We start from the raw sequence: 13,266 nt of genomic DNA, 5'->3' as shown, positions 1-13,266 counted from the left end.
TCTTTTGGGAGACTTCCAACTTTATCACCATCCTGTGTTTTTCAATCTCAGAAGTTAAAAACACTAAGATGTGAAAGCAGACTTTTTGTTGTTATTATTTGTTTCTAACCACCTTTTCAGGGTAAACATCAGGTCTTTCTATATAAGAAACTTGGTCAAACACTGTTCATGTAGAATTTAGTAAACAACTAAATTTAAATCCTTTCCACCACCACTTGGATTTCTCTGTAAACTATGAACTTGATATGATATCATGGGCCTGAATAACTTTGGGTTCCTTATGCCTGGCCAAAACAAGTTTAAGTCCTTGAGCTTGAAATGTTTTAGTCTTAACTTAACCCTAAAGAAAGAGAGATGTTTTAGCTGCACTTTGTTTTGAAAGATTTGTCTTGGGCAGTATTTTGTGCTGCACAACTGCAGCGCCTGAGCTTGGCCATGATTGCAATCACAGAGGTGCTGAAGACCCTCCCACTGATTTCAGCACTTCCCTGAAGAGCTCGGCAAATGTTCAAGTGTGAATGTTCCCATCGAATCCTGATCTTTTTAGCAACATCGTGTTTTCAAAGCAAGCTCAAGACCACAGGGGTTGCTGGGCTTAGTGTGAACAATCAAATTCTAAGTAAACAGCCTCATCTTCCACCCTTCATCTCTCCTTCTTCCTCTGAATTTTGCTATGCATTTGGAAACTGCTCTTTCATTTGGCTTGGAGGACCCCCTTTTGAGCCAGAGCCCTTTGTTTTAGTCAGAGTATGCTCTGGAGTTGTTAGAGCCTGCATTAACTTCACTGTTTGTCATTGTCAAGGTGTTGTTTGAAGTTGCTAACTTGCCCTTTGGTGGGTATGCTAAATGTAGATGGAATGAAAAGACTATCATTCCCTCCTAATTCTCCCACTAGACCAACCCAAAGGTACATACTTCCTTTGGGGTGACAGAAGGTGACAAGCGGCAGCTGCAGCAGCATTCATTTAATTAAGCTCTTATCTGGCCTTGGGCCTGGTTGCCCAGTTTATACCCTACCATGAAAATTCTAAAATTCTATCATTTACTGAGGGAAGATCATGAATCCTGGAAATTTTAGAAGAATCCTCTTTTCAAGTGTTCTGCCCACTCATACTTGTGTGTTGATTTGGGATTTGAAAAAGTGGTTTCTGCATTCACTTTGTCAGAGGTGGGACTGAGGTTTTCAATGAGCACACTGTTTAAACTTTGGGCAATCCAAAAAAATTGGGTCATAAATACTTTAAACTGAGATAATTATTTTCTCCCTTTGTGGTACATATTCGTAAACTTGGGTAGAGATAAGTAGAAGGTCAGTAGATGAGTTTACATCTCTGTAGCCAAATCACCTTTCTAGGCAGTCGAATGAAGATGGGAAACATTTTCAGACTGTCTTCATACAGTATTGTCCTTTGACATTGAAGTTTGAGACACAGAATGTCAGAGGTGCAAGGAGCCTTGGGCATCTTCCCACTCTCACCTTTTACATATAAAGACACTGAGGCCTAAAAGAGGAAGTAACTTGCCCAAGGTCAAAAACCAAGTCAGAGGTTGATCTGGGGCCCAAATGCACACCTCCTAAATATTAAATAGAACCTGTTAATATTTACTAGACAAAAGAGACAAAGCCAAAAAGATAAAGGAAACAGGGATATGAGCTAAGAAAAAACTTGAGGTTTAGAAATCATCTAAGGCAGAAAGACTGCCCTGTCTTAAAGAACTGTTACCATTAGTAGCAGCTAAAGAAAGCTGAGCACAAAGCTATGTGCCCAGAGAAGATGAGACAAATTCAGTCTGTGGACAGCACAGTCATTCTGTTCCAGGAAACTGATGAGAAACCTGAGAAAGAGATTTGTTTTCCTAGACACTAACGATGCTAAAAGAAATTATTCTGCCTCTGGACTGAACCATGGCAAGAAAGCACAGACTGACCCTGAAGATGAGGTTAAAAGAGGGGTCAACCTGTCCAAAGGGAAAATGGGGAGGGCTTGGAGGAGCATAAGTAAAGTTTGAGACTGAGTCACTAATGTGGAACATTTCTGTTTAGAAGACCTGAGAGTCCACTAAGGATATACAATCCCTTCAGCCAGCAGCTCCTAGACTGCCCACTGCATTACAAGAGGAGGTTATGTAGTATAGTGAATGGGTGGCAGGTCTGGAGTCCAACAGACTTGAATCTGTATCTTGGCCCTGCTTTACCTCTTTTGTGAGCATGGACCAGCTGTTTACCTTCTCTGGGCCTAATTTTTCTTTAAATTCAAGAAACCCCAAAGGATTATTTGTAGGATTCAATAAAATAATACTTATTAGAATGTTTGGAATATAGCATGCATTCATATATGCCACATATTATTAATAACAACCAGCTGAGAGTGAAAAGATCCACAGAATTCAAACACAAAGTGACTGGCTCTTTAATATGTTTGCTTTTCCTTGATGAAAGTGTCAGAGCACTTCTGGTCTCTGAACTACAATTTCCTAGTTTATCAAAATGAATATTGTATTTATAATAATGTCTTAGGGTTGTTATGACAGTTCATTGAGATATGGTGTGTACAGCATCTGTTCCACTGGGGTGGTTATAATTATTGAATTGGGGTCAGATATTCTACAGATGAAGAGAAAAAGGGCCAAATCCAAGAGGTCTGATTTTTCAGAGATGGTGTAGTGTAATGATACCAATGCAAGTAAGTACAGAAATAAGACAGGGGCTTTCCCGTTGGGAACTTATCTTTGCTGACTTTTGCCAGAAACTTCCAAAATTAATTACAAATGGCCCCTCTCTCTTTGGTTCACTTGGAATTGACAGCATGTCTGCAGAATCACTGGCTTGTCTCGGATGCCTCCCTGGAAATCCAAGGCTTCTCACGACAAAGTCACATCTAGGGTGGTCTCAACAACACTTAGCCTGTGGTCCTATTCATCATGTTAATGCTGGTGACATTAATCACTTCCTGAGGTTTTGATTCAGAGAACCCACTTCCACTTCTAGGGGTTGTGCTTTGAAAGTATACAGACATCAATAGGAGCCCCTACTGGGTGTAGGATGTTGTGCGTGGCTCAGAGTAGGCGCTTAAATATTTGTTGATGGATTGATTGATTAGAGAGGTTACTGAGGTTAGTAAAACATTCTCTACCTTTAAGACACTGGCATCCAGTGGGGAATATTGACTCATACGAAGCTAGTTTGCACCCAGAATAAACTGATTAAAGGTAAGTAAAAAGTAAAAGACAGCAATCGGGAGTCATTCCAACTGGAGGTGTCTAAGGTGTCTAGGAGAGCTACTAGGAGAAGAAAGCACTTGATGTGTACCTTTGCAGCTAATTGAGATTTTTGACATTGAAGAGAAAGGGCCCTTCAATTACAGAGAGTAGAGTAACCATAGGAAGCAATAAAGAGCAGGCCTTCTTATTGGAAAATAATAAGCAGTGATTTGTGTGTCTGTGTTCTCATGCAAACATGTGTGCATGTGTGCTGGGGTCAGAGCATGGAGAGTCATGATGCCCACACAAATAATTTGGATCTTTGTTTCTGTAGGTGATGGGTATCTGGGGGAGATCTTGAGCAAGGGGATGATGGAGTTAACTAGATAGCTTGGGTTTTATTACTAGACGTAGACACTTCAAAATTAGTAAGACACAACTTTTCCACCATCACTAAGGCTACTAGGGTCAGGAGAACAAAGAGAAAGCCATAAAAGTTTATTCAGATGAACAACAAACTGATGAAAACAACTTTAAGGAGAAAGGGACAACTTCAGTGAGCTGAGCTCTTGGGCTGGTGACCGACAGCTACCCTTGCAACATCACCATCATCCCTGCTTTAAAAAAAAATTATTTGACACCAGCTGTCGACAACAGGATCAATACTTGCTGCAGCAGAGGTCACTGCTGGCAGGTGTCCACCAAACATTGGGATTCCATTTTATTTCAACTGCGTTTGAGAGAAGGGACTGCACTCTAGAGTCCACCAGAGGGAATGCATTGCAGATGAAGAGAATAACATTAATATGAATTTCACAAAACACAATCTTTGCAGGTCTTACTAGGTTTCAACATTTTAAAAAGAGTTCTAGGTTTAAATAAGTTTAGGAAATGATTAGCTAACAAGATTCAACTAGTATCTTTGCTGCAGGAATTCTCGGTAAACGTAGAGAAACCTCTTCTTTTTCTGTTTTTTTTCTCTGTATATATAAAAAGTACATATATATATATATATATATATATATATATATATATATAAAGAAGTATATATAAAGTGTGTATATGTATATACTCACTTAGCAATTTTCAAATATATATTATTACCTCATCACTATGCTATCCAATAGATGTCCAGAACTTATTCCTCCCATGTAACTGAAACTTTGTTTCAACATCTCCCCATCCTCCTCCCTCCATACCAGCCCCTAGTAACCACCATTTTACTCTCTGCTTCTATGAGTTCTACTTTTTCATATTCCACATATACGTAAAATCATGCAATATTAGTCTTTCTGTGCCTGACTTATTTCACTTAACATAATGACCTCCAGTTCCATCCATGTTGCTGCAAATGATAGGATTTCACTTTTTTAAAAAAAGGTTGAATAGTATTCCATTGTGTATATATGCCACATTTTCTTTATCCAATCATCTGCTGATGAGCACTTAGGTTGAGTCCATAACTGGCTATTGTGAATAGTGCTGTAATGAACATGGCAGTGTAAATATCTCTTCAATACACTGACTTTATTTCCTTTAGATATATAACCAGAAATGTAATTACTGAAACATATGGAAAAAAATTATTTGTTTTTGGAAGAGTATGTGGGATGAATCCACATTGGAAATGCTGTTGCAGAGAATAGGATTCAATTTAAAATAGTATTTTGGACTTGAGTCTTATAGATCACTGATAATGGTACTCTGTTATAAGGCAATTTCTATTTACTAAGCTGCTCTCTGCTTTATAATGCCCATCAATCAGAACAACTCTCATTTGCACTCATTTCAGTGCACATGTCATGCAGACTATTTATATTTTTTTCATGCATGTAATACATTGTCTTCCCTAATACCCTACTTCCAGTCCTCTTGTTTGAACTATAGCAATGTCCTCTTAACAGGTTGTCATTCCTATCTATGTTGTCTTCTCTTTCGGATTCATCCTATATGATTCCTAAAGCATAGGTTCACTCATGTTACTACACTGCTCAGAGTGACAATAGCTTTCTTCAAAATGTACATAAAAAAATTCTCACTATGGCATTCAATGCCCATCCAACTCAGGCCCTAACCTAATTTTCTTTTGAGTCTCTCCTTCCCCCAATTTACATGATTGTGATGCTGGAATCAAATGAGTCCACTTGCTAATCTCCATTCCTTGAAACTTAGTGCCTCCATGGTTGTGCTAAATCTGTTCTTTGCTCAGGAAAACACAGCTGAAATACTTCGTCCTCCATGAAGCACTTGCCTAATAACACCTGAGGAAAGGGATTACTTTCCCATTTGATCTGAAGCACATTGTAATATTACTAAGAAAACACTTACACTAGTACATCCTATTATTTATATAAGTGTATGGATGTCACTGGCTAGCTGTGTGAGCTTAGACAAGTCACTTAACCTCTTTTAACCTCAGTGTTCTAATTTGAAAAATGGGACAATCATAACATCTACCCACAGGATTGCTGTGAAGATTAAATGAAATAATACATGTACGGCAGCTGCTAGCTTAATCAATGCCACTTTCTCACATAATATTGTAAACTTCCTGATGAAAGTTACTGCGCCTGATTCTCCTATGCATCCCACATACCCGGTTCAATGCCTGGCCGTGGCAGGCACTTATATTTATTGAGTGAATTACACATGATTGGCCAGGCTTCCTCTCCTTTGCCACTCTGCCCTATTGTGAAGCCAGGGTGAAGTTACCCTGCAGGGTCAAGCACACAGTTCTTCTACCAATGGCTCACCACTATCCTACGGTTTTAAGCACAACTTCTTGGAAGTTCAAGAATAAATTTGATTCTAATTTTTAAAATAACTCAGAAAAGGGAAAAAACTCATTAAAACACAAATGAAATCTCACTATAGTACTATGTTTCAATCCTGAATCATATCAAAATTAATCAAAATGTCTTCTATAATATTCAGCTATCTACATGTTTTTTTTTCCTATATTGTCACTGTTTTATTTTCAAAGAGAAAATGTTATTCCCTTTGATAAATTGATGAAGACTGCCACCTATTCGCTGTTTGGCTGAAATGCCATGCATGTGGCATCCTACTCATACCCACTGAAATCTAGCAAGTTACTTCTGAGAGGCTGCCATTCACCTCAATTGATCCAGTGAGCTTATCTGGGAATGAGATGCAGATAGGGGTCAGAGATCATTTCTTCTGATACATAGAAAAACATAATTCCATTCTTGCTGAGATACACACAGAAGTGTTTAAAGTAATAAAGCCATGGTCTAGTCACAAGCCCAAATAATAGAAACACCTCTGTGCTGATTATTCTCTAGCTGAGTTGCCAGATAAAATACAGCATAGTGAATGAAATTTGAGTATCAGATAAACAATGAAAACTGCTTAGTGTAAGCATGTTCCATGGAATATTTGATACACACTTATACTAAAAATTTATTCTTATCTGAAATTCAAACTCAACTGCATGCCCTGTATTTGTATTTGCTAAATCTGTCTACTCTACTTCAGTGTTCCTTTCCCTGTATACTCACCATTCTTAGGACATCCAGCTCTATGCCCTGGAGGCTGATCACAGTTGCAAATCTTGGGCTCCCTTTTCCCCTGGCTTTTGTTTTAGTTTGTTCAATGGTAAGTAGTAAAATAGGATCTAAGAGTGGAAGGGAAAAGGAAGCCAGCCACTTATCCCCTACCCTCATGGTTCTGGAAGTGACTATATTCATCATTGGCCACAAATCCTGCCTGGTAGCCTCTCTTCTGTGGCTCCAAGCTCTCTCAAGATTCCCATAATTCCATTTCCTTCACCTTCAGGCTTAGGGAAGGAAAGGTTTCTCATGGTTACAGATTCCTAGTGCTTTGGCATCCTGTGATGTTTCCTTAACCCTGACCATAAATTTGTAACTAGTCTCTTCATTCAATGATTTTCAACTAAACTCTTTCATTGTGTCCTTTGTTTCCCAGATGATACAACATTTTTTTAAATTAATTTACTTTTTAAAACTTTTAGGTTCAGGGGTACATGTACAAGTGTGTTACATAGGTAAATTTGTATCGTGGGGGTTTGTTGTACAGATTATTTCATCATGCAGGTAATAAGCATGGTGCCCGATAGGTAGTTTTTTTTTTGTTGTTTTCACCCTCCTTCCACCTTCCACCCACAAGTAGGCTATAGTGTCTATTGTTCCCTTCTTTGTGTCCATGTGTACTCAATGTTTAGCTCCCACTTATGAGTGAGAACTTGTATTTGGTTTTCTGCTTCTGTGTTTGCTTGCTTAAGATAATGGCCTCCAGCTCCATCCATATTGCTACGAAGGACATGATCTAATTCTTTTTATGGCTGTGTAGTATTCTATTGAGTATATGTACCACATTTTCCTAACGTAGTCTATCATTTGTGGGCATTTAGGTTGATTCCATGTCTTTGCTATTGTGAATAGTGCTGTGATGAACATACGCATGCATGTGTCTTTGTGGTAGAACAATTTATATTCCTTTGAGTATACACCTAATAATGAAATTGCTGGGTAGAATGGTAGTTCTATTTCAAGTTCTTTGAGAAATTATCAAACTGCTTTACACAGTGGCTGAACTAATTTACATTCATACCAGCAGTGTACGAGCATTCCCTTTTCTCCACAACTTTGCCAGCTCTGTTATTTTTTGCCTGCTCAATGGTAGCCATTCTGACTGGTGTGAAGCAGTAAGTGTCTCATTGTGGCTTTGATTTGCATTTCTCTAATGTTTAGTGATGTGGAGCATATTTTCATATGCTTGTTGACCGACTGTATGTCTTCTCTCAAAAAGTGTCTGTTAATGCCCTTTGCCCACTTTGTTATGGTGTTGTTTATTTTTTGCTTGTTCATTCAATTGAATTCCTTATAGATTCTGCACACTAGACCTTTGTCAGATGGATAGTCTGCAAATATTTTCTCCCATTCTTTAGGTTATCCGTTTACTCTGTTAATAGTTTCTTTTACTGTGCAGAAGCTCTTTAGTTTAATTAGGTACCATTTGTTAATTTTTGGTTTGGTTGTAACTGCTTTTGGCATCCTTGTCATGAAATCTTTGCCAGGGGCTATGTTCAGAATGGTATTTCAAAGGTTTTAGTCAAGGGTTTTTATAGTTTTTATGTTTTGCATTTAAGTCCTTATCTTGAGTTGATTTTTGTATATGTTGAAAGGAAAGGGTTCAGTTTCAATTTTCTGCATATGGCTAACCAGTTATCCCAGCACTATTTATTAAATGGGGAGTCCTTTTCCCATTGCTTGTTTTTGTCAACTTTGTTGAAGATCAGATGATTGTAGGTGTGTAGTTTTATTTCTGAGCCCTTCATTCTGTTTCATTGGTCTATGTGTCTGTTTTTGTAGCAGTACCATGCTGTTTTGGATACTGTAGCCTCGTAGCATAAGTTTGAAGTCCAGTAATGTGAGGTCTCCAGCTTTGTTCTTTTTGCTTAGAATTCTTTTGGCTATTTGGGCTCTATTTTTGTTCAACATGAATTGTAGAAAGTTTTTTTTTCTAATTCTGTGAAAAACTTTGTTGCTAGTTTGATAAGAATAGCATTGATTCTGTAAATTGCTTTGGGCAGAATGGACATTTTAACAATGTTGATTCTTCCTATCCATGAGCATGGAAATTTTTTTATTCGTTTGTGTCATCTCTGACTTATTTCAGTAGTGTTTTCTAATTCTGTTTGTAGATATTTTACATGTCACTGGTTAGCTGTATTCTTAGGTATTTTATCTGTTTTGTGGATATTGTGAATGGAATTGCATTTTTGATTTGGCTCTCAGCTTGGACATTGTTGGTGTATAGAAATATTACTAATTTTTGTACATAAACTTCGTTGAAGTTGTTTATCAAATCTAGGAACTTTTGGGCAGAGACCATGCCATTCTCTAGGTATGGAATCATATCATCTGCAAACAGAGATAGTTTGACTTTGTCTCTTCCTGTTTGGATGCCTTTTATTTCTTTCTCTTGCCTGATTGCTCTGGCAAGGACTTCCAGTACTATGTTGAATAGGAGTGGTGAGAGTGGGCATCCTTGTCATTTTCCATTTCTCAAGGGGAATGCTTCCGGCTTTTGTCCATTCAGTGTGATGTTGGCTGTGAATTTCTCAGAGATGGCTCTTACTATTTTGAGGTATATCCCTTCAATGCCTAATTTCTTGAAGTTTTTTAATATAAAGGGCTGTTAAAACTTTTTCAAAAGGCTTTTGCATTTATTGAGATGATCATGTGGTTTTTGTTTTTTCTTCTGTTTATGTGATGATTCACATATATTGATTTGCATATGTTGAACTAACCTTGCATCCCAGTGATAAAGCCTACTTGATGGTGGTGAATTAGGGATTTTTTTGTTTTTGTTTTTATTTTGTTTTTGTTGGTTTGTTTGTTTTCTAGATGGAGTTTCACTCTTGTCACCCAGGCTGGAGTGCAATGGCATGACCTAGGCTCACTGCAACCTCTGCCTCCTGGGTTCAGGCGATTCTCCTGCCCCAGCCTCCCGAGTAGCTGGGATTACAGGCGCCTGCCATCATGCCCAGCTAATTTTTGTGTTTTTAGTAGAGACAGGGTTTCACCATATTGGCCAGGCCAGTCTCAAACTCCTGACCTCAGGTGATCCACCTGCCTCAACTTCCCAAAGTGCTGGGATTACAGGCGTGAGCCACCGCACCTGCTGGTGGATTAGCTTTTTGATGTGCTGCTGGATTTAGTTTTCTAGAGTTTTGTGAGGAATTTTGCATCTACGTTCATCAAGATATTGGCCCGAAGTTTTCTTTTTTTGTTGTGTCTCCGCCAGGTTTTGGTATCAGAATGATGCTAGCCTCATAGAATGCATTAAGGAGGAATGTTTCCTCCCCAATTTTTTCAAATAGTTTCAGAAGAAACTGTACCCACTCTTCTTTATGTATCTGGCATTTGGCTGTGAATCCATCTGGTTCAGGAATTTTTCTGGTTGGTAAGACTTTTATAACTGGATCTATTTTGGAACTCATTATTGGTCTGTTCAGGATTTCAGTTTCTTCCTGGTTCAATCTTGGGAGTTTGTATGTTTCCAGGAATGTATCCATTTCTTCTAAGTTTTCTAGTTTCTGTGCGTAAAGGTGTGTGTAATAGTCTCTGAGGGTTTTTTGTATTACTGTGGGGACCATGGTAAATCCTCTTTGTCATTTCTGATTGTGTTTACTTGGATCTTCTCTCTCTCTCTTTTTTTTTTTTCTTTTGAGACAGAGTCTCACTCTGTTGCTTCAGATGGAGTGCAGTGGCGTGACCTTGGCTCACTGCAAACTTCATCTCCCGGGTTCAAGTGATTCTCCTGACTCAGCCTTCTGAGTAGCTGGGATTACAGGCATGCGCTACCACACCCAGCTAATTTTTGTATTTTTAGTAGAGATGGGGTTTCACCATGTTGGCCAAACGGCTGTCAAACTCCTGACTTCAAGAGATCCACCTGCCTCAGCCTCCCAAAGTGTTGGGATTACAGGCATGAGCCACCACACCTGGCCTCTTTTTTCTTTATTACTCTAGCTAGTGGTTTATCAATCTTATTTATTCTTTCAGTGAACCAAGTTATGGTTTCATTGATCTTTTGTACGGTTTTTCTGATCTCAGTTTCATTCCATTCAGCTCTGATTTTGTTCATTTTTTATCTTCTGCTAGCTTTGGGGTTGGTTTGCTCTTGTTTTTCTAGTTTCTCTATGTGTGATGTTAGGTTGTTAACTTGAGATTTTTTTAACTTTTGATGTGGTTGTTTAGTGCTATAATCTTTCCTCTTAACATTGCTTTAGCTGTGTCCCAGAGATTCTGGTAAGTTGTCTCTTTGTTTTCATTAGTTTCAAAGACTTTCTTGATTTCTGCCTTAATGTCATTGTTTACCCAAAAGTCATTCAGGAGCAAATTGTTTAATTTCTGTGTAAATGTATGGTTTTGAGTGATCTTCTTAGTATTGATTTCTGTTTTTATTGCACTGTGGTCCAAGAGTATTGTTGGTACAATTTTTTTTTCTTTTCTTTGATTTTCCTGAGAATCCCTTAGAATTTGCTTGTCTGAAAAGGATCATATTCTTGGCTGGAATTTCTCTTACTTAAGAATGCTGAATAGAGCCCCAATCTCTTCTGGCTTGTAGAGTTTCTGCTGAAAGGACTACTGTTAGCCTGATGGGCTTCCCTTTGTCGGTGACCTGAGCTCCCCCGCCCTTTTTTTTTAGCTGCCTTTAACATTTTTTCTTTCATTTCAACCTTGGAGAGTCTGGTGACTATTTAACTCAGGAATTGTCATCTTGTATGGTATCTCACAGGGGTTCTTTGCATTTCCTGAATTTGAGTGTTGCCCTCTCTAATGAGCTTGGAGAAATGTTTGGGTCAATATCCTCAAATATGTTTTCCACATTGCTTGCTTTCTCTCCCTGTCTTCGGGGACACCAATGAGTCATAGGTTTCATCTCTTCATATAATTTCATATTTCTTGGAGGTTTTTTCATTAATTTTTATTATTTTTTCTTTATTTTTGTCTGACTGCATTGATTTGAAAAATCTATCTATGAGTTATGAGAGTCTTTCCTCAGCTCGGTCTATTCTGCTATTAATACTTGTGATTGTATTATGAAATTATCGTAGTGAGTTTTTTTTTAACCTCTATCAGATCAATTTGGTTCTTCCTTAAAATGACTCTCTCATCTTTCAGCTCTTGTATTATCTTATTGGATTCCTTAGATTCCTGGATTGGGATTGGGTTTCAACTTTCTCTTGAATCTCAATGATCTTTGTTCCTATACAGATGCTGAATTCTATGTCTGTCATTTCCACCCTTTCAGCCTGGTTCAGAACCATTGCATGGGGAACTAGCATGGTCATTAGGAGGTAAGGAGACACTCTAGACTTTTGAGTTGCCAGAGTTCTTTCCCTGGATCTTTTCCATCTGTGTGAAATGATGTTCCTTTCATCATTGAAGTTGCTGCCCTTTAGATAGGGTATTTTACTTTTATATTATTTGATGCCCTTGTGGGCATCAATATTTTATTGTGGTATAACATGAGTTCAGTACACTGGCTTTGTTTCTGTAAAATTTCAAGAAGCCAAGCCTGAGTTCATCACTGCCGGAATATGTGTTGTAACCCTGGGGGACTAGTAATGGGCCCAGGGCTTTGATCTCTGGCCCCTTGAGGTTAGGAACCTGCTGCACTGCAGGGACTGAGGTGTTCCCAATCCACTGGTAGCAACACTCTGATGGTGGTGGTGGGGAGGTGCCAGTCAAAGCTCTTTGTTGGGTCAGTGACAGCAGGATTCATGCTCCTACGTGTGTGCCAATAGCAGTAATGATGCAGCAGGGTGCACATGCATTGGCGGGGATGGGACAGCAGCAGGGGTGAGGCAGCAGCATCCATGCATCCATGCTCATGCCAGTGATGGGACAGATGTGGTTGTGGGTGCCAGTAAAGCAGTGGGGAGGTGCACCATGGATGAGTGTGCACCAGCAAGTGGCAGGGGAAGGCTGCAGTTGGGGGAAGCTGTGGGTCAGTGGGTGTGCATCAACGGGGGCCATTCTGCTGGAGCTCTCTGACAATTATGTGCAGTCTGCTGGTGAAGCAGTTATAATGATGGCCCCTAGGAAGTGATCTGGTTGGGCATCTGAGGCTGCACTACAAGTGGGCATGGCTAGGCTGGGGCTCCAGGAGAGGTTGGCAGAGAGGTGTTTGCTCAGAATGGACTGGCTCCATCCCATGGGCAAGACCATCATGCTCTGTCTAGGTCCAACAGTCACCAAAGGCCAAAGCCACCTACAGGAGCATGGCAAGCCTTGGGGGAATGGGTGTCCGTGGCTGTGCTCCAATGCAACCATTCCCATGCCAAACCCTCTGAGCTCTGCACAGGCTGGAATCCTTTCCCTGTCACCTCTCCAAACAGCTCTCTCTGCCAGCTCAACTGTCCAGAGGGGTCGTGGGGTCTCCTGCAGCTAGGATTCTGGAGGTCTGTCATAAAAACAGGCTACTCCTCATTTGTTTAACTCACCCTTTCCCTAGAAGCTGGTGGGGGCCAGGAATGTGTTCCAGTGCTTAGCAACCCTGTGTAGGATT

General features: G+C 39.5%; 1 annotated feature.

Moving 5' to 3' along the window:
• Positions 346-847: an enhancer, noted in NCBI's record as "NANOG hESC enhancer chrX:137143313-137143814 (GRCh37/hg19 assembly coordinates)". NCBI's record gives its function as "activates a minimal SCP1, AML or CMV promoter by ChIP-STARR-seq in primed H9 embryonic stem cells {active_cell/tissue: H9 hESC(primed)}" and the evidence as "EXISTENCE:reporter gene assay evidence [ECO:0000049][PMID:30033119]".

The sequence above is a fragment of the Homo sapiens genome, chromosome X, assembly GCF_000001405.40.
Source record: "Homo sapiens chromosome X, GRCh38.p14 Primary Assembly".
Classification (NCBI taxonomy): Eukaryota; Metazoa; Chordata; class Mammalia; order Primates; family Hominidae; genus Homo; species Homo sapiens.
Note: the sequence above shows the minus strand (reverse complement) of the source record. Positions and strands in the feature narration are given on the sequence as shown.